The sequence below is a fragment of the Homo sapiens genome, chromosome 4, assembly GCF_000001405.40.
Source record: "Homo sapiens chromosome 4, GRCh38.p14 Primary Assembly".
NCBI classification, from domain to species: Eukaryota; Metazoa; Chordata; class Mammalia; order Primates; family Hominidae; genus Homo; species Homo sapiens.
In genome coordinates, this window is record NC_000004.12 from 96,663,890 (window position 1) to 96,688,295 (window position 24,406).

At 33.9% G+C, this 24,406-nt stretch overlaps 1 long non-coding RNA gene across 1 annotated transcript in view, besides 1 other annotated feature; it reads left to right on the plus strand.

Annotated features, from left to right (window-relative positions):
• Positions 1–24,406, plus strand: part of LINC02267 (long intergenic non-protein coding RNA 2267) — a 507,713-nt gene that overhangs the window by 353,187 nt on the left and 130,120 nt on the right. The gene's annotated exons all lie outside the window — the stretch shown is intronic.
• Positions 13,656–13,856: a silencer, noted in NCBI's record as "peak5082 fragment used in MPRA reporter construct". NCBI's record gives its function as "represses an SCP1 promoter by STARR-seq MPRAs in K562 erythroleukemia cells {active_cell/tissue: K562}" and the evidence as "EXISTENCE:reporter gene assay evidence [ECO:0000049][PMID:32103011]".

Genomic DNA, 24,406 nt, shown 5'->3' on the forward strand with positions numbered 1-24,406 from the left:
CCCTTATGTGTGACACTTTGGCATGCTGAATATTTTGCACTGAACATGACTGGAAAGCCTCAGAAGCAAGAAGTTCTTTCTAAACTTTTCCCACTCTCCATTCTCCTTTCCTGTTTCTCCCCCTAAAAATGGTAATAGAAAGTAGAATTTCTCTTCCCTAAGTCAAATTATAGAAACTAGAACTCCTCTCCCATAGTGCAAACCATAAAATGTAAACATGCCACTCTGACTTATTTCCTTTGAAAGTAGGCCACAGACCCTCATTCCAGAAGGGTTCTTCCCTATACTGGTGTGGGACTGGGGGAGGAATGCTACACAGAGAACCCAGTAATAATCTGAACAAACAGACTTTCCTATGGTCCCCCCAGTTTGTCACCATTAGATCATACCCTTTTTGCCCAATCACATTTCTACATGGATGTCCATTCTTCATTAAATCTAAATTTAAAAATAGAGTTTTCCCTGAGCCTTTGGGTCTTTATTTTCGAAGGCTCCATATTACATAAAGCTTTGTTAAATAAATTTGTTATGCTTTTATCTTGTTCATCTGTCTGTCTTAGGAGTGTTGGCCATGACTCTTGTGATGGGTGAAGAAAATATATTATACATTTTGCATCTATACAAGGTATATGTCCTTCAATAAGTACATTGATAAACAAACCATGGTTGAGCCATATAATGGAATGCAATTTAAAGATAAAAGGAATGAGCTATTCACTCATGCAACAAAATGAATGAATGTTTAATACAGTTCACTAATTGAAATAGGATACACCCAAAAGCTGGCATATTTCCTGATTCCATTGCATGATATTTTGGGAAAAGCAAAAATAATAGAGACAGGTAGAAATTGTAGAAGACAAGGATTTCGGGAAGGAAAGAGCTGTTGAATATGAGAAAATGTATAAGAAAAATTTTAGGGCAAAGAAACTATTTTTTATGGTACTGGAATAGCGGATACATGGTTTCACGCATTTGTAAAAACCTATAGAATTGTACATCATAAAAAGTGAATTCTAATTTATGCTGGGGTTTAGTTAACAGTAATGTACCCATGTCAGTTTCCTAATTTTGACACATGTTGTATAGTAATGTAAAATGCTAAACTAGATGAGAGATGTTTGGAAATCTATGTTCTATCTTTGCAAATTTTTCTGTGAATGTAGAATATGTAAAATTGTGTAAATGTATAAAGAGCATATTTCTCATAGAGTTGTTGAGGGGAGTAAATCAGTTATATATACAAATCATGTGGAACAATACTCAAGATAGAAACATTTAGTGTTGGCTAATGGAAACATTTAGTGTTGGCTAAAAGAAAAGTCTGGCCTTTTCTTTTCCACTTATTTTTCTACAAATGCAACCCCTTTCTTTGCTGTGGGTAATTATTCATGTATTTTGCACTGGACTGAGTACATATTTTCCCTTCCCTCCACCTCCAGTAAAAGTAGTGGCATAGGTGCCACATCTAGCTAATGAGATAACCCCACTCTCCAGTCTCAATGATTATTTCAAGCAAGGGCAATTATCCAACCCAGAACTTAAAGAACTTGTGACCTGTTGGGGAAGAAACGTTATTTTCTTTTAATATAGTTCATTTTGTAGGATGTGAGCATGTGACTCCTAGCAAGCCATTTGCGACTAAGTGAGTAGAGCTTTACTGAGAGTAGGTTCATATGGAGGTAAGCAGAAATGGAGAAAAAATATAAACCATGATGCTATTTGACTGTATTCCTGCATCCACTCATAACTGGGGCTACAGCCTTCCTTTCACAGTTCTAATAATTTATGCCAATACATTAACTGTATTGCTGTGGCTGCTATAAGTTGAGATTCAGCCACTTGCAGTAGTAAAATGAGTAGTACCTACAGTTTTAATTGCTTGTGGTTGGACAATGTTAGCTTTATATGACCTTGAGAAGAGATTAATTAACTGGTACTAAGGGTAGGAAACAATGAAGTCAAAAGTGGCCACATTCATCAATCAATCAATGATTGAAATGTTTATTCAGGCAATCAATGTATATTCAGTAACTTCATTTTAGAAATTAATAACAATTGCTGTGAACATATCGGAAGCAAGAAACAAATAATGTAACTACAAGGAGGCATAGCATATAGCTGAACAATGCACTTTTTGAAGAAAACAAAGAAAATTGATTGTTTTTTCCCTCCATTAGAAAATAATTAGCAAAAAACCTCAAAAACAGAAACTATGTAGAAAAGAATATTTTCAAAATGCAATGAGAAAAAAATTCTGATAATCAGCTGTTTAAGTAACCAGAACAACAACAACAATGAAACGGTGATATTTCCTTTCCATCTGTTATAGAAAAAGGAAAAGTCATGGCAATGAAGGAATTATTCTAGCAATGCAAGAATAATGCAGCATTAGAAAATCTGTCAGTAAAACTCATTACACAGGCAATAGAAAGGATGAAATCCATGATTATTTTAATTGGTGCCAAAAAGAACAAATTAAGAATAAAAGAAAGCTTTCTTAACTTAAAAAAGATATTAGTAAATATGGCATTTAAAGGTCAAGCCAAAAAGTGGTTCCATTAAAGTGTAAAATTTAGAAATGCCTCTTTTATATTTTAGTGAGAGTTTCAGCCAATTCAATAAAACAAGAAAAATAAATGAGAGATGAAAACATTTGCCAATATTATGTAAACTTTATTATTGCACAAAATCTGATCTTTTAACTATAAACCCTAGGATAATTTAAAAAACCGAGAACTAGAAAAAGTCTCGTATGTGTTGGATATAAGATATCACATATAAAAATCAATGTTTTTCTAAAATTATAACTTAAAAACCCCCAGAAAATCTAATAGAAAAATGCCATTATGATAGTTAAAATAATTATTATACTTAAAATAAAACTAATAAGAAGTCTAAAAAACTTTTATGAATGTAAAATTTGAAAACCAGAGATCATTATTGAATTCCATAAAATATAACAAATAAATAGCTATACATGAGAAGTATCAATTTTAAAAGTCTGGGAACATACTGAAAACATCAATATAATATTTAGAGTAAGAAAGCTTTTCATAACAGAAAAATATAATATGGAAATATTAGATGATATAAAATTTATTGTCTATATGTTAAATTACACCAGGAAATCTTTAAATCACAAAAAAGCAGATATTTGTTTCAAGAACATATAAAGAATTAATACAATTCAATAAGTGAAAGATAAAAAAAGCATTTAAGTAAAGGAGCAAACTTATGATATTTACAGAAAGTATTTATAAGTGGCTCATAAACCTATAAATATATTATAACATTATGTATTTATGAAATACTAAGGAACAGTTTTAAAAAATGAGGGAAATGTCCATTTACTAACATGAAAAGATTGATAATATAAAGACTGCTGGCACATGTATACATATGTAACTAACCTGCACATTGTGCACATGTACTCTAAAACTTAAAGTATAATAATAAAAAAAGGAAAAAAAAAAAAACAAAAACAAACAAACAAAAAGACTGCACATTTCAGAATTATGCAATGGAATATAATGTCTGTAAAAAAGCAAAAGTAAACATAGAACATGGCATTCTACATTGTCAATGTGTGTGTTATGTGTGTATGTGTGTGTGTAAACATATTGTCAATATGTGCATGTTTTGTGTATATGTGTGTGTGTGTATACACATTATAAAATGTTTCAAACACTGCACACCAAACTAATGAAAGCAGGTGTCTCTGAGGAATAATACAGCATGGGGATGCGACAAAAATTCAAAAATAATTTTCAAGGCAAACTTAGCATTATTTGTTATTCAAAGACTTTAATTTTCTTCAGTAAAATGACATTTATAATTTAAAAAAATTAACTAAATATGTTGTTGTTTTTTAGAATATGAGTTCATGCAATTAGATAATTTTTTTTCACTCCTTAATCCCTGGGCTAGAAGAGTGCTGAGCATAGGATGGGAGCTTAAGTATTTTCCACATGAATGAATAAATAAATAATGAGCATGGAAAAATAAAAGAAACAAAAAAATGCATAGAAGAACAGCTTGCTTGAATTATCCTTAAAAAAGGTAGAAGAGCTTGTCCTCTTCCTTTTTCCCTTTTGTCAGGGTTCAAGAAGAAACACAACTATGAAAGCAACAGTTGGGCTGGGATGAGCAGACAGTGGGTGTGTTGGGAAATGGGTTACATACAGAAGAGTAAACAACTAATAAACATTGTGTGGATAATGGGGCCAGGTTTTTCTTTGTTAGAAGAGGATTTACAAATATAGAAAGAAATGACAGAAAGAACCTATGGCATTAGACTGGAAATAGACATACAGTTGTGAACTTATGTTCTTGAAAAAAATAAATGGATATAAAGATGTAGAAATCAATACAAACATATATATATATATGTGTGTATGTGTGTGTGTGTGTGTCTGTATATGTGCCTCTGTATCTCACACACACAATTATATATGCATTCCATTTGTTCGTCAACTGAGAAGACACAAGGAGCAGTGATTCTTCAGGAGAATAAGCACACTAGGGACTCAGATCTTGGTTTCTCGGTACCATCGTTAACTGAAAAACTAGGGCTCCTTGGGAAAATGGTAAGTATTAAGACTGAGGCAGAACAAGAAGACAAACCTGGAAAATCTTATTGGGTGAGAAAGCAAAGAGTTACTACAAGATTGATGAGGGGGTGACAATAGGACACAGGAGTCAGTCTTAAATGGCTCTCTCTGGCCAAAACTGATGCAATTTTAGCGTAAAATATCAAAAATAGTGAATTAGCATTCAATGAATAAAATGTCAAGCTAGGAGTTCAGACAACTATAAATAACATATAAATAAATAGGGAGGAAGATAAAGCTCTTCCTTAGAGTACAATACCAACTAAATAAATTTAAAAGGAATGATGGAAATAGAAAATCATACTTTGGCAACTCTCATTTTGGTGGTTAATTCAGAAAGAAGTCATTAATGAATGCTAGATCTGGTGGTTACAGATTTGATGAAAAACAGGTATTGCATATGAAAAATAAATGATAGGACTTTCTTAGGAGTATCCCCCACATAGAAGTTATCAAAAGGCAATGAAAAATAAAACACGAAAGACCTATATTCTCTGCAGCTGTCAAATTCATGATGGACAAAGAAAGATTGAGAAACTGTAGCAGACTGAAGGGGACAAAAGAGACAAGAAAACTTATCCTATCCAGGTTCCTAGACTAGAAAGCAACAATACAGATTGTTGGGACAGTTAACAATATTTAATGGAGGTATATAAACTGGATGCTAGCATTGCAATAATTCTCATATTTGAATTGTTGCATTGCAGTTGTTTTGTGGTAAAGTAGTAAAATGTCTTTTTTTCTAACATGCAAACAGGAGTATTTAGGAATAATGAGGGATTGTGTCTACACGATGCTCCCAAGAGAGACAGGGTGATGGAGCAAACATGGTAAAATGCTAACAATTGAGGAATAAGAAAGAATCAAAACAAGAGGTCTTGTGAGCTCTTTGTACCATTCTTGCAACTTTTCTGCATGTGGAATTGATTTTAAATAATATATTAAAATACATTTAAAAGATAGAATTGGTAAAAAGATAAGTTAAAGAAAAATAAGGTGTGCAAATTTTAAAAAGACATGAAAGATAGGATTCATAGAATAAGCTAAATGATATATACTGTGTGCTTATGATTATGTTAAGGCCCATAAGATAGTGGAAGAAAAATATATGGTCTTCTCTAAAAAATCTTCCACTGTTGGTAAGGAAGTAAAATGAATTTGATGTTAATTGATATACTTTGAAATTCTATATTTTCACTGTTACCCACTTTCTTATTATTTGTCTTCTATGATAAATATTTGGAGTAATTTGTAATAATATATGTTATTAAAGAAACAAATTAAATTATAAATTAAAATAAATTATAACATATACAATATGATATATAGTTATATAATATTTAAGTTATAAAATAAAAAGAATCAGGGAAAAAAGTAGCTAAAGAATGTATACAAATAAAATGTAATTTCGTAGATCCTATGGAATATGTCATTTAGAGCCTGAGATAAAGTCCATGGTTGAATATTAAAGGATTCAATTTTGAATTTTGAATTTTGAATTTAGATGTTTTAACATTTAAAATAGCTTCAGTTGAAGGAAATTCTCGGGAAAGTTTTGGAAGCTAACTGGAAATAAGATTAGAAATGGCCAGCTTACAGGTACCTTGACAATGAAGTTTGATTTAATTAAAAGAAATATGGTATCACAATAACCCTGAGATATAAAAATACAAGTCAGATTCCTGAAACGGTTGCTATGGAAGCAAAGGATACTGTTCATCCTTTCAGTCCTTTTAATGCAGAGGTGCCTTATATTTCTCACCTCTGGGCTCCTAGTTTTTTTCAGCATCTCATTAGAATTATTTAATGGAAGTATGTGGCAGGCATATGATTTTGAAAATTGGACTGTTTACAAATGAATTTCTTCCTCAGTTTGCCTGTCTAATTGTAGCAAATGGAAGAGTATAAGTTTTACAGTCATGTCTTTATTGCATATGAAGTTACTTTTCTGCCTATTCTTTTTGCTTCACCTGCACAAAGCCAAAGTAAAGAATACAATGCACAGAATTTCCATATGTAAAGGCCGCTTCAATTACTATTAATACTTGTGTTTAAATTTACTTTGTGTAGAAAAAGAATGTCTGCTTGTTGCACAGTGCTCCTTTTTAAGTTCCTAAAAGATTAGAATTGCAGTGCAACTGCCCCTGTCATTTATGTCTCACTTTTATGTGTTGCTGCTTTTATGGAGTGCTAAATTGCTTAATTAAATTTTACTGGTTTATTCTGCTTGCTCATTCATATCCTACTTAATCCAGCCTACGACATTTTCTTCCTTTAAGTGAACATATGACACCTCACAATATAATTTTAGAGGTACATTTGGGCTGTGAAAATGGCTAAGTGGTTTAATAATGTAAGGTGCTATTTGTTGAAAAAAAAACCTGAATACTCCATGCAAGTATCAAAGTCATAAGCAACGTCAGTATGTTGGGTTTAACAAAGCTCTTGGAGGCATAAATATGGGTTAAATGCCTACTTTTATTAGGTGTCATTATAGTTTATTTCTATACTTTTTTTTCCAATCTTACACAATGCATAAAATACGCACTTTAACACATTCCCTTTCTAGGATACATACAAAGAGGAAAGAATGCCATTTTCTTTATTATACTTCCTTCACAATTGAAAGTAGCTAGTACATGATAAAGCATTTGAAATGTTCCCCATCACTCACTTGCACACCACCTCCAAAACTTTCTAGTTCCTCTCTGAACTGTTTCTTCTTTCTTCAGATGACTTCATAACTTTATATAAACAAAACTTGTGTCCATTTAAAATGAGTCCTTCATTATTTTATTTTCGCATATTAAGGATTACCTGCAGTTTTGTCAAACTCATCTTCATCATGCCCATGATCAAGGATGTTTCTTCATGGTACTAAACCCTGTCTTAGCCACTGTTGAATTAGCAACCATTAAAGTCACTCTTTCTCTATTCCTTATAGTTATGCCCAATATTTTAATGTGTTAATTATTTCTATTATTAACAATGCACATAACTCATTTATTGGCAGGGAACCTATAAATGAGTTGAACCTTTTCCTTCAGAACAGATTAGTGGCATTAGTATAATCACAAGTAGGGGCTCTGTTACTCGTTGCGAAGGTTCAAATAGAAGCTCTGTCACTGCAGTTTTTAAATCTCAATATTCTTCATTTTCTCATTTGTAAAATTATAGTACTCAATATAATCGAGTAATTATAGTACTCAAATGAGCTAATATATGTTTAGGATGTGAACCCCGAATATCTGAGACAGGTCTCAGTCAATTTAGGAAGTTTATTTTGCCAAAGTTAAGGACATGCACCCGTGACACAGCCTCGGAAGGTCCTGATGCCATGTGCCCGAGGTGGTGTGAGCACAGCTTGGTTTTATACATTTTAGGAAGACATGAAAAATCAATGAATACATGTAAGATGAACATTGCTTCTATCCAGAAAGGCGGGACAACTCAAAGCTAAGGTAGGACAACTGGAAGTGGGGAGGGGCTTTCCAGGTCATAGGTAGATAAGAGACAAATGGTTGCATTCTTTTGAGTTTCTGTTTAGCTTCTCCAAATGAGGCAGTCAGATATGCATTTATCTCAGTGATCAGAGGGATGACTTTGAATAGAATGGGAGGCAGGTTTGCCCAAGCAGCTCGCAGCTTGACTTTTCCCTTTAGCTTAGTGACTTTGGAGCCCCAAGATTTATTTTCCTTTCTCAAGGGCATGGCCTAATGAGGGATCACATTTTATTAATATGTTTAATATTGTTAATAACCAAAAGATTTGGATGTTCTCTAGGTGTAATAAGTACCTTCCAGTTGCATTGCATGCCATTATTCATATGAGGTGCCATGTCAGCTGTTCACCTCTCCCTGGTCTCACTGTGCTAGGTACCTGCAGACCGAGGGCCAGCCAGCCCATCTTCCATGAGCACCTACCAATCAGAAAGGACACAAATAGCAGTGGTTACAAACACAATCTGCTACTGATTCAAGCTTTAATTGTTTGATCCTAGAAGTTGGGGCATGGGCAGAAGCAGCTGGGATATGAGTATGTGTGGCAGTAACCATCCTCTGAGAACTCAAAGCAAAGGCAAATTGCCAACCTATGAGAATGTATTTTATTATTTTAACTGGCTGTACTGGGGCTGTCTGTATGAAAATCATCCTTTCTTTTCTCCAGTGCTAATCTCTCTTATCTTAATCTCCAGGCAATTTTTGCACCAGGACGAGGGTCATGCCATATTAGTTTTTATTCCTCTTTCTCATACAATTTCAGTCTATCTCATTGTATCAAGTAATTTCTTTTTCCTTCAAAACTGTAGAGATTTTTCTATTAGGGGAAATAAAAAGAATCTCCTAAGCACTCAAACTAATATCTTATCTCACTCCTTTTCATGGCTATTGTTTGTATGTTTTCTCAATATAGCTTCCAGGGCTGGGTACCAGTTGAGGAATGACCAGTCAGCTTTTTTAGGTGAGGTATTGACTTTAATGAATTCATCCCACTGAATGGAAACAGAATTCAACAGAGCCAGTAAAAGATGGAGCTCTATGCTCACAGTCCAACTATTTTTGTCATGCATATAGCTTCTAAAGATTTAAATTCTGATTTAACATCCTGCGGTCCACTTTTACACATATATGTGTTTATAGATACACATACATATATACATTTATATATATATATGTGTGTATATATAAATAAATCATTATATATATATAAATAAATCATCTCTTTACATGAGTATCCTGTTATCTTTTCAAACTCATTATTTCCAGCATATTGAGTAGGTACTTAAACATCTTTCTGCATTCCCTATCTGTTAGCACCTCCTTGTTCTAATTATACAGGATGAAAATTTTGGAGTCATCTTTGATCACTCTTTTCCCCTTTTTTTCTATGTTGAATTAGTATTTTATTTTCAATAGTTCAATCTCTTAATTTTTTCTTAAATTATTATTTCTAAAGTTATATTTTAGATTCTCATTACTATTTACTTGATGTATCTTAGTCAATTCAGACATGGCAAGGCAAAACTGGAAACCTTCATCTTCCACAAAACACAAACACTCATGTGTACATATATACACATACTTACCCCATCTGCCACGTTTGACCTTCCTACAGTGCTGTTTTTCTTAAAGGCTTATTTATTAACCATTTGATCAAAGTATGTAATTTGGGAGTTGTCCTTGACCAATCATTACCAATATATAGTCCATCTCCAGGTCCTATCAAGTTTATATATCTGAGATATGTTTTATGCTGGGATCTTATTAAAATGCAGATTCTGATAATATTTATTTAGGGTGAGTCTTGAGGCTGTACGTTCTGAGTTCATCTTAAGGAATGCCCATATTGAGGACTTGAGAAATATATTTTGAATAGCAAAAATCAATGGGGTCCTACATCATCTGGCCCCTTTGCAATCACTCAGAATTTATCACAACACTCTCCATCTGACTCACTTGGCTTCAGGTCCCTTAACTTCTTTCATTTTCTTAGTACATCAAACTCTTTCATATGTTCACAACTTTGCATGGAGAGTCTCATTTGTCCAGAATGCTCTTCATCACTTTCTGTACTACTAACCCTGCATCCTTTACATCTCAACTTCTTTTATTCCTCTGGCAGACACTTTCTGAGTATGATGGTTAATTTGATGTGTCAACTTAACTGGGCCCTGAGATACCTAGATATTTTGTTAAAGATTATTCTAGGAGTTTCTGTGAGGGTGTTTCTGTATGACATTATGTCTGGATCTGTAGACTGGAGAAGTAGATTGCCCTCCCCAGTGTGTTTGGGCCTCATCCAATCCACTGAGTAGAACAAAAAGGCTGAGTATGGGAGAATTGTTTCTCTCTCTACCTTACTGTCTTCAAGCTGGGACAACAGGCTTCTCCTGCCTTCAGGCTCAGATTTAGACTAGGACTGGAACTTACACCATGGGCTCTTCTGGGTCTCCAGCTATACATGCTGTACTGATAAACACCCACATAAATATTTGATTAACATAGCAGTAAGGGCTAAAAAGAAAAAGAAATATGATTATGAAAAAAGAGGTATATGTTGCATAGGTGGTCAGGGAAGTATTCTAAAAGGAAGTAGAATTTTTACTGAAAATTAAAGAAAGAATTAGTAGAAAGAAACAGAAAAAAATCATTTCAGGCAGAGGGCACATCCTTTGTCAAGATGTTGAGATGGTGTTGTTGGGGCTCATAACACAATACCTCAGAGCAGGGTGCTTTGGCATTCTGAGTATTTTGAATTGAAGGATACTAGAAAGACCTCAGAAGCAATGGTTTTCTCTGACCTTCTCTCACCCTCCTGTCTCCAGCCCCTCTTCCTCTTCAATAGTGAGTCATAGAAACTAGAATTCCTCTTCCCCATGACAATTCATAGAAACTAGAAATTCTCTCCTTCAAACTAAGTTGTAAAATCTAGAAATGTCACTCCCTGACTTTGTCCCTTCTCCTCTGAAGATCCTCCAGAGACAGGTGTCCTCTCCTATATCCAGAGGAAGGAATGCTTCAGGAGAAGCCAAGAATAATCTGAACAGATAGGTCTTGTTGAGTTATCCTCCTCAATTTATTACCATTAGATTATACCTCTTCCCCATTTTTTTTTTTTTTTGGTAGAGACAGGGTCTTCCTATGTTGCCCAGTTGTCCTCAAACTCCTGGCCTCAAGCAGTCCTTCCTCCTGGGCCTCCCAAAGCACTGGGATTACTGATGTGAACCATCACACCCAACCAAGATAATACCCTTTTTTGTGCAATTATATTTCTATATGATGCCCATTCTTCATTGAACTAAGCATAAAATACAGTTTTCCTTGGGTCTTTTAATCTTCATTTCTAAAGACTACCATGTCAGGTAAAACTGTTAAAAATATTTTTTCTCTTATAATCTGTCTTATGTTATAGAAGTGTTAACCATGACCCTTGTGATACATGGCAAAAAGGTATGATCATTTTGCTCCTACAATTTCACGACCAGCTGTGTGTATGCAGGGTCTAGAAAAAAAAAATCAGTGTGTCTTGAGTGAAGGAAGTAGGCCTTGGTAAAGAATATAGATTTAATCTAAGCACAATGGGTATACAATGAAATAATCAAGGAGGAAATATGACTAATTTTTGTTTGTTATGTTTTACTCTGTTGGGACCTCTGTTTCCAGTCATGACAGAGAAAAATGGTACAAGACATGTGATCCCTTCATGATAACTACTGCAGAAAATTATAAAATACATGAGAGACAACATTTCAGGAATGAAACAATAAGCAGAGATCTGTGATCATGGGGAGAAGGAAAATACACAAGGTGAACCAGATGACTGTAGCATGGTGGTCCCTGGTTTCTGCCTAGAGACTTTCCTCTGCTGCAAAATATTGAGGCAAAATAACAGTGATTTTGCTGAGCTGAGGAGGAAGGTATTAGATTTTTTGGCTTGTGCAGCAGCTGAAATATACAGCTCTGGCTATCTAAGATGAGGGCTCTCTTCCAGAGAAGGGGCTCTGGAAGTCTTTGTAATGAATCATCATAGGTCCTTGGGTGGGGGCTCAGTGATTAACTTCAGATAAACAGAGTGTCAGCCCAGCCAGAATGGAATGATCTGCCCTGCACCCTCTGAGCACATTGAGCATGTAGCTGAGACTCCAGAAAATGCCATTGCTTACAAGTCAGGACCACACTATGCAGTAAGTGGCGTGTTGTAAATGCTAAGTACAAAACAGGAATAGAATGTTCTTAGCAATGACAAAATCAAATCTGATAGGACCAAAGTATAGGCCAGTAATTGAAATACATGACAAAACAAAATGCATTGCCTTTTAACGGGTGACAAAATACTTCAAACACTAAATAATATAATCCATGATGGCCAGCATAAAATTAAAGAAAAATAACATACTGTGTATGTAGAAATAGAAAGTGTCACCCATAGACAAAAGGAAGAGCAGTTAAAAGAATCAACACTGAAATGTTGTAATGAGCAGAAAGTAAGTTTCAAGGAGCTGTTGATACTTTTGTTTTGTGAGGTTCCCACATAGACACTGTTGTTTTCTTGGTGTGATACGGAACAGGGAAAGTGCAGGAGTAAAAATGTCTAAGCTTACAAAAACAGAAAATGTTTAGCTAAATGAACATGTGGGAATACATGTTGATTCTGAATTTAAGTCGCCAACACATTTTTATTTAACATACTTATCTTTTTGCTGGAAATAATAATGTTTAATTATAGTGGGCTTTAGTCTTAGAAAAGTAATGAAAACTTGTGTATGAATTTTCTGATGGCTTTAAAACATATGGGTGACAGTGGTACAAGATAAGATTTGACATTTTTGACTTTGAGAGTTATAGGAACTATAAAATTTATATATTTACCATTGCTAATTCATTATTATTATCCTTTCTGAGTCAGAAGTTGAGTGTTAAGAGAGACACTTTAGTAAATGACTTGTCACGTGACACTTGGACTACCATGAACATGCCTCAAGCTCTCTAAGCTTTCATTGCCCTACGTGTAAGCTTGGAGTAATAATACGTATTTCAACATGTGACCCTTTTTTTAGTGTAAGAATGGGAGATGTGCTCCTTTCATCTCTCTACTTCCCTGAGTGGATATTGGTAGCCCTATTCATTTATATTTGAAAATGCAAATATGGTCATACTCTAAAAGTTCTTTGGCAATCAGCTATTTTTATTTACAAATTAAGATCTTACAATTAAATATGACATCATCAAATATAGACACCAGCACCTAATTATCCTGTTTTACTTCTTCTTTTATTTTTATTTTTATTTTTTTGTCAGTGGGTCTTTTCTAGACAGAATTCTTAGAATACAAACCATTTCTTCTCATCATACAGTTTTGGCCACAAGTCTCAAAAACCTATTTTGAAATTCTGAAAACAAAAATTCATTCATTGTTTTGCTCAACATTTCTGTTATGTCATCACTCAGAAAATGTCAAACAACCCAGTGCTAAAGCTGTTAGTTTCTGCTGGGGAGAGAGAGGCAGGAGAGATGACATTATTGTATCAAAATGATTGTTTGCAACTCTATGGTCTTGTTATTTCTTTAATATGTAAATAATGCCAAACAGAATTCAAACTACCTTAATTCTAACTATTTTTCTTTACTAACTCGGTGTTATACAATATTGATGAGTCATTCCACCACTGGGATCCTATTTCCTCTTGCTAAAGTATAAGCACATATCTAGCTTGGTTTTGAGAGAGGAGGTGAAAGTCAAGTCAAACTAATTATAATATATGAAAGCATTGTAGTGGATTCCATTCTGTAATTGCTGTAACTAGTGAGTCAAATAAGTTCTGTTTTCTTAATTAAAAGGCCAACAAACATTGAACATTGTTTTCATTTTCTTTTGATACATAATATATTTTACATAACATCCCAGGATATGAAACGATTTTTGAATCAATAAATCAATTTCATTTTACAATTTTTCTTTCTGAGCAAATTTATTTCAGTCATTTTATTTCCTCTAACTGCATTTTTTTAAATGTCTAAGCATGGAAAAACTGAAAGCAATATTCTAAGGAGATTCATTTATTCATTACATATTAATTAGGTCTTTACTATGCAGCAGACATGCTGTACATACATGGAATACATGGAATACAGCAAAAATAGGACAGAAATTTTTTTTAAAAAAACTCTGCTTTCAGCCAGGCATGGTGGCTCACGCTTGTAATCCTAGCACTTTGGGAGGCTGAGGCGGGTGGATTATGAGGTCAGGAGTTTGAGAGCAGCCTGGCCAACTTAGTGAAACCCTGTCTCTACTAAAAACACAAAAAATTAGCTGGGTGTGGTGGTGGGCACCTGTAATGCCAGCTACTTGGGAGGCTGAGGCAGGAGAATCTCTTGAACCCAGGAGGTGGAGGTTGCAGTGAGCCGAGATTGCGCCAATGTACTCCAGCTCAGGTGACAGTGCGAGACTACATCTCAAAAAAAAAAAAATAATAATAATAATAACTCTGCTTTCATGGAATTTACATTCTGGTGAGAAGATTCACAAAGACACATTAGAAATGACATTACTCTACATCTATACTCAATAAAGACCTGCAAACATTATTTTGTGCCTCACATTTCATGGCATCATAACAGAAATAAAATATATTTATTGATGTGATGTTAGGATTAAAGATTTTAATGTAAGACCTCAAACTATAAGATGCATAGAAGAAAATCTAGGAAATAAGTCTTCTCAACATTAGCATCAGCAAAGAATTTATGACTAAGTCCCAAAAGCAATGGCAACAAAAACAAAAACTGATGAGTGGGACCTAATTAAACCAAAGAGCTTCTGCACATTAAAAACCATCAATTGAGTAAAAAGACAACCTAAAGAATGGGAGAATATACTTGCAAACTGTCCATCTAATAATATTACAAAGGTCTAATGTCAAGAATCTGTAAGAAATTTAAACAAATCAACAAAAGAAAACCAACTCACTCCATTAAAAAAATGGGCAAAGGACATGAACAGACACTTCTCAAGAGAAGACACCCAAGTAGCCTGTTTCATCTGTTTGTTACAGATGAAAAATCACTCAACATCACTAATCATAAGAGAGATGCAAATCAGAACTACAGTGAGAAAACATCTCACACCAGTCAGAATAGCTATTATTAAAAAGTAAAAAAAATAACAGTTTGTTGGTGAAGCTGTGGAGAAAAGGGAATGCTTATACACTGTTGGTTGGAATGTAAATTAGTTCAGCCACTTGTGAAAGCAATTTGGAGATTTCTTAAAGAACTTAAAACAGAGCTACCATATGACCCAGCAATCCCATTACTGACTATATACTCAAAAAAAATAGATCATTCTACCAAAAAGACACATGCACTTGTATGTTCATTTCAGCAATATTCACAATAGCAAAAACATGGAATCAACCTAGGTGCTCATCAATAATGTATTGGATAAAGAAAATGTGGTATATAAACACATTGGGATACCATGTAGCCATGAGAAAGAACAAAATCATGTTCTTTGCAGCAACATAGATGGAGCTGGAGGAGACCATAATCCTAAGTGAATTAATGTAGGAATAGAAGACCAAATAGCACGTGTTCTTCCTTACAAGTGAGAGCTAAACCTTGAGTACTCATGGACATAATAATGGGAACAATAAGACACCGTGGGCTACTAAAAAGGAGAGGAGGAGAGGTGGGAGAGAGTTGAAAAACTACCTAGTGGGTACTATGCTTACTACTTGGATCCAATATACCCATGTTAACAACCCTACATGTATACCCCCTGTATCTAAAATGAAAGTTGAAATTAAATTAATTAATTAATTAATTAATTAAAAAGATAAAAAAATCTGCAATATAGAAGCTTGTCCGATACTGTCTAATGCAAGAAAATATATTTAATCATTATTTATAATCAAGATAGGAAATTATTTGGTGATAGTATAGTATTGCATCAACTATGGTAGAAAATGTCTTTGTTTTACTAAAGTTTACAATCTAAGACTAACAGTAATGACAGAACACAATATTAACACATGATACTTACAAACCATTTCTACAATTCTTCTTATCTAATATTGTTCCAGAGACTTCTGGCCATCTTATATATGAATCAAATGGATACAAATATTTAATCACCTAAGACCAAAAATCCAATATTCATGGTTACAATGGGGGAATCCCAGACTAAGTGGTTTTTAGTTATTTTACACATACACAGTCTCATTTTAAGAGCTATTTCTTCTTTTAAATTAGTGCTTAGTTCATTAAACAAGAAACTGTTTAAAATCTGTACTTCACTCAATCATAACCATGATATTGATTTTTTTAAGAACTCTAAATGTCAAATAATTTTTAAAAAGAAGAGATGTAAGAGCTAACCTACTTTAACCTCACCTCACACACATAACAGAGGGAGAAACTAATGGCTAATATGGTTAAAGGTTTTGTATTTCAAAACAAATTAGGAGCAGCAGAACCAGGACTTGAATAATTCCCAAATTTCCCAATTTCACACATTTATAAACTTGTTAGTGTCATTTAAGCTCCTTTGATTTTTTAAATCAACATTTTAAATTGGTGTAAAGAAACTCCTTCATCTTTAAAGGAGGATTACTCTACGGTTACCTTTGAATGGACTTCGTTCTAATTCTTTATTTCATCAGGAGACTAGACAACTCTCAATGTAATGATGAACCTTCTAGGTTGACGAATCCTTTTTTAATTTTTTAAATTGTTAGAAATAGTTTTACATCTAATTTATAGCTTTAACAAATCACTCATGGAATTTCTGAGACATAAATACATTCAAGTATTTCTTAGCTTTCATAACTGACTATAGTGTTAATAAAACAACACTGAATTTTTCTTTCTTCTTGCTTAGTCGACAAAATAGATAAATAAATAAGCATTTACACAGGCATTTGGGCAAATGGATAATTTGGGTTTCTCTGTGCGTATGTATGTATGTGTGTGTGTACGTATGTGTGTGTATGTTTGCAAGCACATAAAACATCAATGTGGAGTTCATTGTTAAGGCATCTAGTAGGTTTTTCTATATCTATTCATGGAACTCATTTGACAACCAGAAAATGAGACTGTATTTTTATTTATTGTATTTATTTTGAGAATAAATTTGATCTAGTTTGCTAAGTTGAGGCCAATCTCTTACTCAAAATGTAAATTTTTTTTCTGCATACCTTTGGATTGAATCCGTTTCAGAAGCATCACATCAGTTGTCAAAATAATATTTATGCAATGGAAGGCATAAAATCCCAGAAAATAAAAGAACAGATTGTTTAACAGCAATATTCCCTATACAGCAGAATATGACATTAGGTAATAAAACAGTCTTCCATTCTGTGACTCCTCACCATGTGATCTCAGTATGCCTGAGAGTGAAGCAGGCATTTATTGCTACATATGTCCTCTGATACTCTGGGATTATCACTTAATTAACTTGGTATAAATAGACTGAACAAGTGGTGTAAATCCCAGTAGACACAACACTTAGAATTCTATAATGGATCTCAAAAGAAATCCTAGAAAATGAACTAACAAGAAATAGAGAAGTGACACATGTTTCAGATCAGAATCTGAGTTTATAATAAACACATTTTAATTTTTCTGCACATCTTTTTCAGCGCGGGTTGGCACATTTAAAAGTTATAAATAGAAAGACAGACATCCATTGAACTATTATAGGACCTTCTTCATGCTTCTTAGTTTGGGGAAATATTAAAGGATTAGAGATTAATTTAAATTCCAGATGCAATTTTAAGTGTTTGATTAGGGTAGAATTTAAGAGAAATCAACAAAACCATTAGTCGATGATGGAGATGTATTTTTATATTTTAGGCAGTAAAAAGCAAGTATGCTTTATTTGTTATAAAAGTATAAGAAAGATATATGTTAATTAAGGTGATTAAGCTTTGTTATTTTTTAAAGCTCTACACAAAAGTGAACTTAAACCTATTAATCAAATCTCTTTGTGACCATTTAGGAATCTGACTCAACATTTTTTGAAAGGGCTCTGCATAGAATATTTTAGAAATTGATTAGGTCAGACCAAAGAATAGTATCTAGATGTTTTAACCTAAATTGCATCTAAAAGCAAGCATTAAAACCCCCGAGAAACTATAATGCAATTTTAGCAAAACTATATCTTAGACACATGTTACAGCAGTAACTTTTCCAGGACTATTGTTAGTAGACATTTCTAAATGGAAATAAATATTTATGTCAAATTTTATCAAAGGTACACTGGACATTTTATAGTTTAATACATTTTTAAAGCATATAAAGAATAGCATACTGATGTATAATTTTGCTAACCCTTACCATAATTATTTTAGAACTCAAATGACAAATACATTTGTATTTGCCTCTAAAGCCAAAAAGGTGGCTAATAAATGAAGCCTTTAGTAAGAGGCATCTCAATTTGATGGAAGTCACTTATGCATCCTTACAGTGCCTCAAATATAGATCAATTGGCTATATTAAAGTCTATTATGCAGAAATTTTTTTTCAATGATACTAAAAGAACTCATTTATAAAACTGAAACTGTGATGCTTTACTAAGAGATTCTGAGAGTCTGTTTTGCTTGATCAAAACTTTCCGTTTGCTGAGAGATATGAACTGTGGAGAACCATCTATTTCAACAGCTGTTTGTATGTATTCTTTCCAATGATCACAGGCTTTTGTTTGAAGTGACTGCACGGTCATCATTAATGAGTGACATCACAAAATTTTTCTGGTAACATGAAAAATTAAGAAATGGCAAAATGCTGCTTAGATTTTTTTCTAGAATATTTAATAGGAATTATCTTCACATTTATGGATTTTGATGCTCTCTCATTTTCCCATATCTTATTTATTGACTTATATGTGTAAGTAAAAATAAGATTGGTTTTATAAGGATATTTAAATTACTAACATAGTAAATATTTAGTGTTAGTTTTTATTCTTATGTCTCCCTTCTCAAGTGCATTAGAAGTATGTAGGGGAGTGTTGCCTATAGAAAACGTCACTTTATATGAGAAGTGACTTAAGGAATCAGCTTGTGATAGGGAGGAGAATGGAGACAAACCAGTGGCAATTCTCAGTTGGAATTCATGACCACAGGCAGGCATGTCTGGAAGAGAGAATCTGATAGCCAGTAAGATCTCTTGAATGCTGAGGACAAACCAAGGACCTGGTCCTGCACCTAGAATACAGACAAGATCTCTAAAGGCACTGAAATATTAATAGTGTTCTTTTATAGTAGGTTTTTGGACCCTATACCTCTGCAGTTACTAACCCTGAAAGTTAACCAAATTAACTACGGTATATAGATTCAGACCTGCCACTGAGACATGTACAGTCTTGATTATTGGCAGACAATATGTGGCTTTCATAAACCTTCAATCCTCTCTATGTCAACTTTCTTTTTAACTTTTATTTTAGATTTGGGGTAATTTTGCACATGTTATACAGGTAAACTACATGTTACTGAGGTTTGGTGTACAGATTATTTCATCACTCAACTAATAAGCATAGTACCCCATTACCTAATATGTAGTTTTTCCATCCTCACCCTCCTCCCACCTTCCACCCTCAAGTAGGCCCTCATGTCTGTTGTTCCCTTCTTTGTGTACTCAACGTTCAGCTCTCACTTATAAGTGAGAACATGTAGTATTTGGTTTTCTGTTCCTGTGTTAGTTTGTGAAGGATAACGGTCTCCAGCTCTCTCCATGTTGCTGCAAAGGACATGATCTCATTATTTTTATGGTTGCATAGTATTCCGTGGTGTATATGTACCACACTTTCTTTATCCAGTCTACGTTCGTATGTATTTAGGCTGATTCCATGCATTTGCTCTTGTGAATAGTGCTGTGATGAACACATGCGTGCATGTATCTTTATGGTAGAATGATTTATATTCCTCTGGGTATATACCCAATAATGAGATTGCTGAGTCAAACGGTAATTTTGTTTTAAGTTCTTTGAGGTATTGTCACACTGCTCTCCACAAGGTCTAAACTAATTTACACTCCCACCAGCAGTGTATAAGCATTCCCTTTTCTCCGCAACCTCACCAGCATCTGTTATTTTTTGACTTTTAAATGATAGCTATTCTGACTGGTGTGAGATGGTATCTCATTGTTGTTTCAATTCATATCTCTAATGATTAGTGATGTTGAACATTTTTTCATCTGTTTGTTGGCCATTTGTATATCTTCTTTTGAAAAGCATCTGTACATGTCCTTTGCCCACTTTTTAATGGGGGTGGTTTATTTTTTGCTTGTAAATTTGTTTAAGTTCTTCTTGTGAATTTTATTTCTTCTCTGGAGGTGTCTTTTATTTTCTAGATCCCCAATATTCCACTGGTGATTCCACCTATTTTTCTGACAATTTGAAATTTAACAAATTGTCTCCACTCCTAAATTTGAATATAAACTTAGGGTTGGGCGTGGTGGCTCACTCCTGTAATCCCAGCACTTTGGGAGGCTAAGGCAGGCAGATCAACTGAGGTCAGGATATCGAGACCAGACTGGCCAACATGGCAAAACTGTCTGTACTAAAACTACAAAAATTAGCCGGGCATGGTGGCATATACCTGTAGTCCCAGCTGCTCAGGAGGCTAAGGCAGGAGAATCTCTCGAACCTGGGAGGCGGAGGTTGCAGTGAACTGGGAGCACGCCATTGCATTGCACTCCAGCCTGGGCAACAAGAGGGAAACTGTCTCAAAAAAAAAAAAAAAAGAAAGAAAGAAAGAAAGAAAGAAATAACACAGAGAGTTGATGGGACATATATCATCTAGTTATTTTTCTGTAAATACAAACTGTTTCATCAATGAACTTGAAAATTGACCACTCAGTAAGTTGTTTGCCATTAAATAAGTTAACTCTTCATCATGTACCTATTTCTCATTACACTGTTTATAAGTGTACATTTTAATAACAAGATTATAATACCCATATATTACAATTAAATGATTTTTTGAGGTCTTGAGAGGTACTAATTAATTATATTTCTCTCTTTTATGTTTTGAACCAATTAAAAAATAGACATAGGTATAAAAATTTAAACAATATATTATTTTATTTCTGTTTAACCTGGATTGAATAAACAGCCTGAATTAAGGTTTCAAATGTGTGGTCTGCAGTTCTAGCCCGTGAACTCTACCTAACCTTTACACTGCAGATGGGGCAACTGTTGAGAGACAGAGAGAAAAACAAACAAACAAACAAGTAGTAGGCCAATGTGTGAGTACTGTTCTCTAATGAGTTAACTCAACCAATAGGATAGTCAATGAATACAAATGTTTCTCTCTTATGGTAAAATAAATGAGAAAAATATGCAGAATTCTTGAAAATAATAGCTTATTACTGCTTCTGCTTGGAGAATGAAATGGCCCTCTATATGTAGAAAGATAACCAAGGGAAAATAATGTTTCCTCAATAAATTTGTTGAGAAACTAAAATAGTTCAAGTGGGATGTATTATAAGTAAGACATGAGATCATATTCTAAGAAAAAGTAGACTGAGGGATAATAGAGTTTGAGAAACTTACAAAGTGAAACTGCTAAAAAATAAATTGATCTTCTTAGTTGTAATGCACACAGTTGTGACGAAGTTTGATTGTTAGAAAGAGTAGCAGGTGGCATTATGTTACCTGGGAGGTCCATAGAGTTATGAAAAGCCAGAAACATGTCAAGAAGTATTTAAGTAAGAATGACAGTGAGAAAAACAGAAGGAATAGACTATAGCCATTAATGCAGTAACAGGGGATGCATTCCTATAAATTAGTGCAATGGCAAGATGTAATTGGACCCAGATATTTAATGTGAAATAAGTAGCAACCACTCATACAAACTGCAAATAGAAAAAGCTAAGCCGGGTGCGGTGGCTCACGCCTGTAATCCCAGAACGCTGAGAGGCCGAGGCAGGTGGATCATGAGGTCAAGAGATCGAGACAATCCTGATCAACATGGTGAAACCCCGTCTCCACTAAAAATACAAAGATTAGCTGGGTGTGGTGGTGTGTACCTGTAGTCCCAACTACTCAGGAGACTGAGGCAGGAGAATCCCTTGAACCCAGGTGGTGGAGGTTGCAGGGAGCCGGGATTGAGCCACTGCACCCCAGCCTGGTGACAGAGTGAGACTGTGTCTCTCAAAAAAAAAGAAAAAGAAAAAAAAGAAAAAGAAAAAGCTCCTAATGAACAATGCACAATGATAGAGAAGGATTGTCATACTAGACCTGAGGAATCCATCCCAAGAAATCTAGCAGTTTAAAATTCTTTTGGTTCAAACTTTGTCCTATGGTCTGGCAGGCTTCATTGTCAGCTCACCAAGATTATATTCAACCCTCTGGGAATACTTAAGTTAAACAAAGAAAATATAAAATTAAAAAAAGTAAATTGTCTGGTTTAGATGAGAACTATGGCGAATATAACCATATAGCTATGTCTTTCAGTCAAGGCATTTTTTCCATGATATAGGAAGTCACATTATCATTAGTAGGTTGGTTGTCTGGTGAGAAAGAAGGAATTAGAGAACTCAATATTTAATGACATCAAATAAAAACTGTCTGACACTTACCTCTCCTGAGTATTGAGATAGGGAGTAGAACCAGGTTCTAAGAAGGCCAGATTTTGAATCAGGGCATTGTCCATATTTGTCTTTGTAATATCTCTCCATATTTTAAACAAGTATGCTTTTACCTATCATGAACTCATTTTAAAATTTAACACTAAAGACCACTTTATTTTCTTTAATTTTTTATCTGAGATTTGTGAAGACTTATACAAATTATTAGAACACTGAAAAATTCCTATCTAGACTTATTAATTTATTTTATAAGTTAAGAAAATGAAAGGGAGAATATTCTTCTAATCCTGTTTGAACACAAAAGAATTGGTTCATAAACTGGAACTCTTAACTCTCCCTTCTAGAAAAATACCTGATACCTTACATTGTATTGAATCATGTGAAAGATATCAGATTGCCTCCATAGCCAGAGCTTCTCAAAGAGGAAATGGATAAAGAGTTAAGACACAAGCAATAAATAATTAAATTATTGTAATTCTAAATTATCTAAAAGGGGAAGAAATGGGAAAGTATGTGAAAACCAAACTGACTGCTCATGAATTCACATCTTTGGGATACTTAGAACAAATAAAAGGAGAATAAATACTGTATTTGCCTAAGTTGGGGAAATTTAAGGTTTAAACCAAGTTACCAAGAACAGAATTGTAGGCAGAGGAAAGCTAATCCCTGAAGGTAACAGAGGCAAAAGTGGCCCTGCCATTGTGTCTGCCCTGCTAGGTTTGCTTTCCTCAATCAGATGCCTTATCTGGGGGCATAGTGGGAGGCATAGGTTATGAAATGCAAGTATCCTATAGGCATTTACAATTAATGTAGTCAGAAAGCCCAATACTGATTTGCCTGGGTAAGATACCTGATTCTCAAAAAGCAATGACCTAAACCCATGTCTCCTAGAAGCATTTTGACTACAGATTGATCAGCCAAATGGAGGGTTAGTTTAAACTCAGTCTCCCTTTAGATAATTTTGTAGCTATATTGAGGCCTATTGTTTTAGTTGATGTTATATTATTTTGAATTATTAACATCCTTCTAACATTTTAAGGATTAGTCCATACATATAGAAGTATCTTCTCATTTATGTTTGCATTTCTAATGTACATATATAAAAGTTATAGAATTTTCTGTTTTCTTCTTGCAATTGTATTTTTTGATCTTTTAAAAATATTGGAGACACTTTTACTTCTTTAAAGACCTTTTATAAAAATATATTTTATTTCTAGTATTACATACTTAACGAAGGTTTATAGCAGGTCTTATAAATTTTATTCACTGCATTTATGTCTTTGCTCTTGCTGTTTTATTCCACTGTGCTTGTGCTTGTGCTTGTGTTCACTCCATGCATTAAACAATATTCAGAAATGAATATTGGTATTCATAACACAAGTGAATGCCAATATTCATTTGTGTTAGTGTTTTCTTGGGTATTGATATTCTGATGGGAAAAAATGAACAAAGGGGATTTGATGAATCAGAATGTTATTGAACTCCATTAAATCTTATTTTTCAAGATAATTTCATAAAATGCAAATGAGATAAATGTCTTCTATGTTTATGCCTTGTTTAGTTCAATGTTCTGTTACTGGCATCTTACCTAATGCACTTTCTTTCCACTCCCTAGAAGATATATATATATATATATAGCCTTCTACACATTATACATTTATCATCATATTGTTTACTTTACTAATACATAACATGACAATGTCCCCCCTA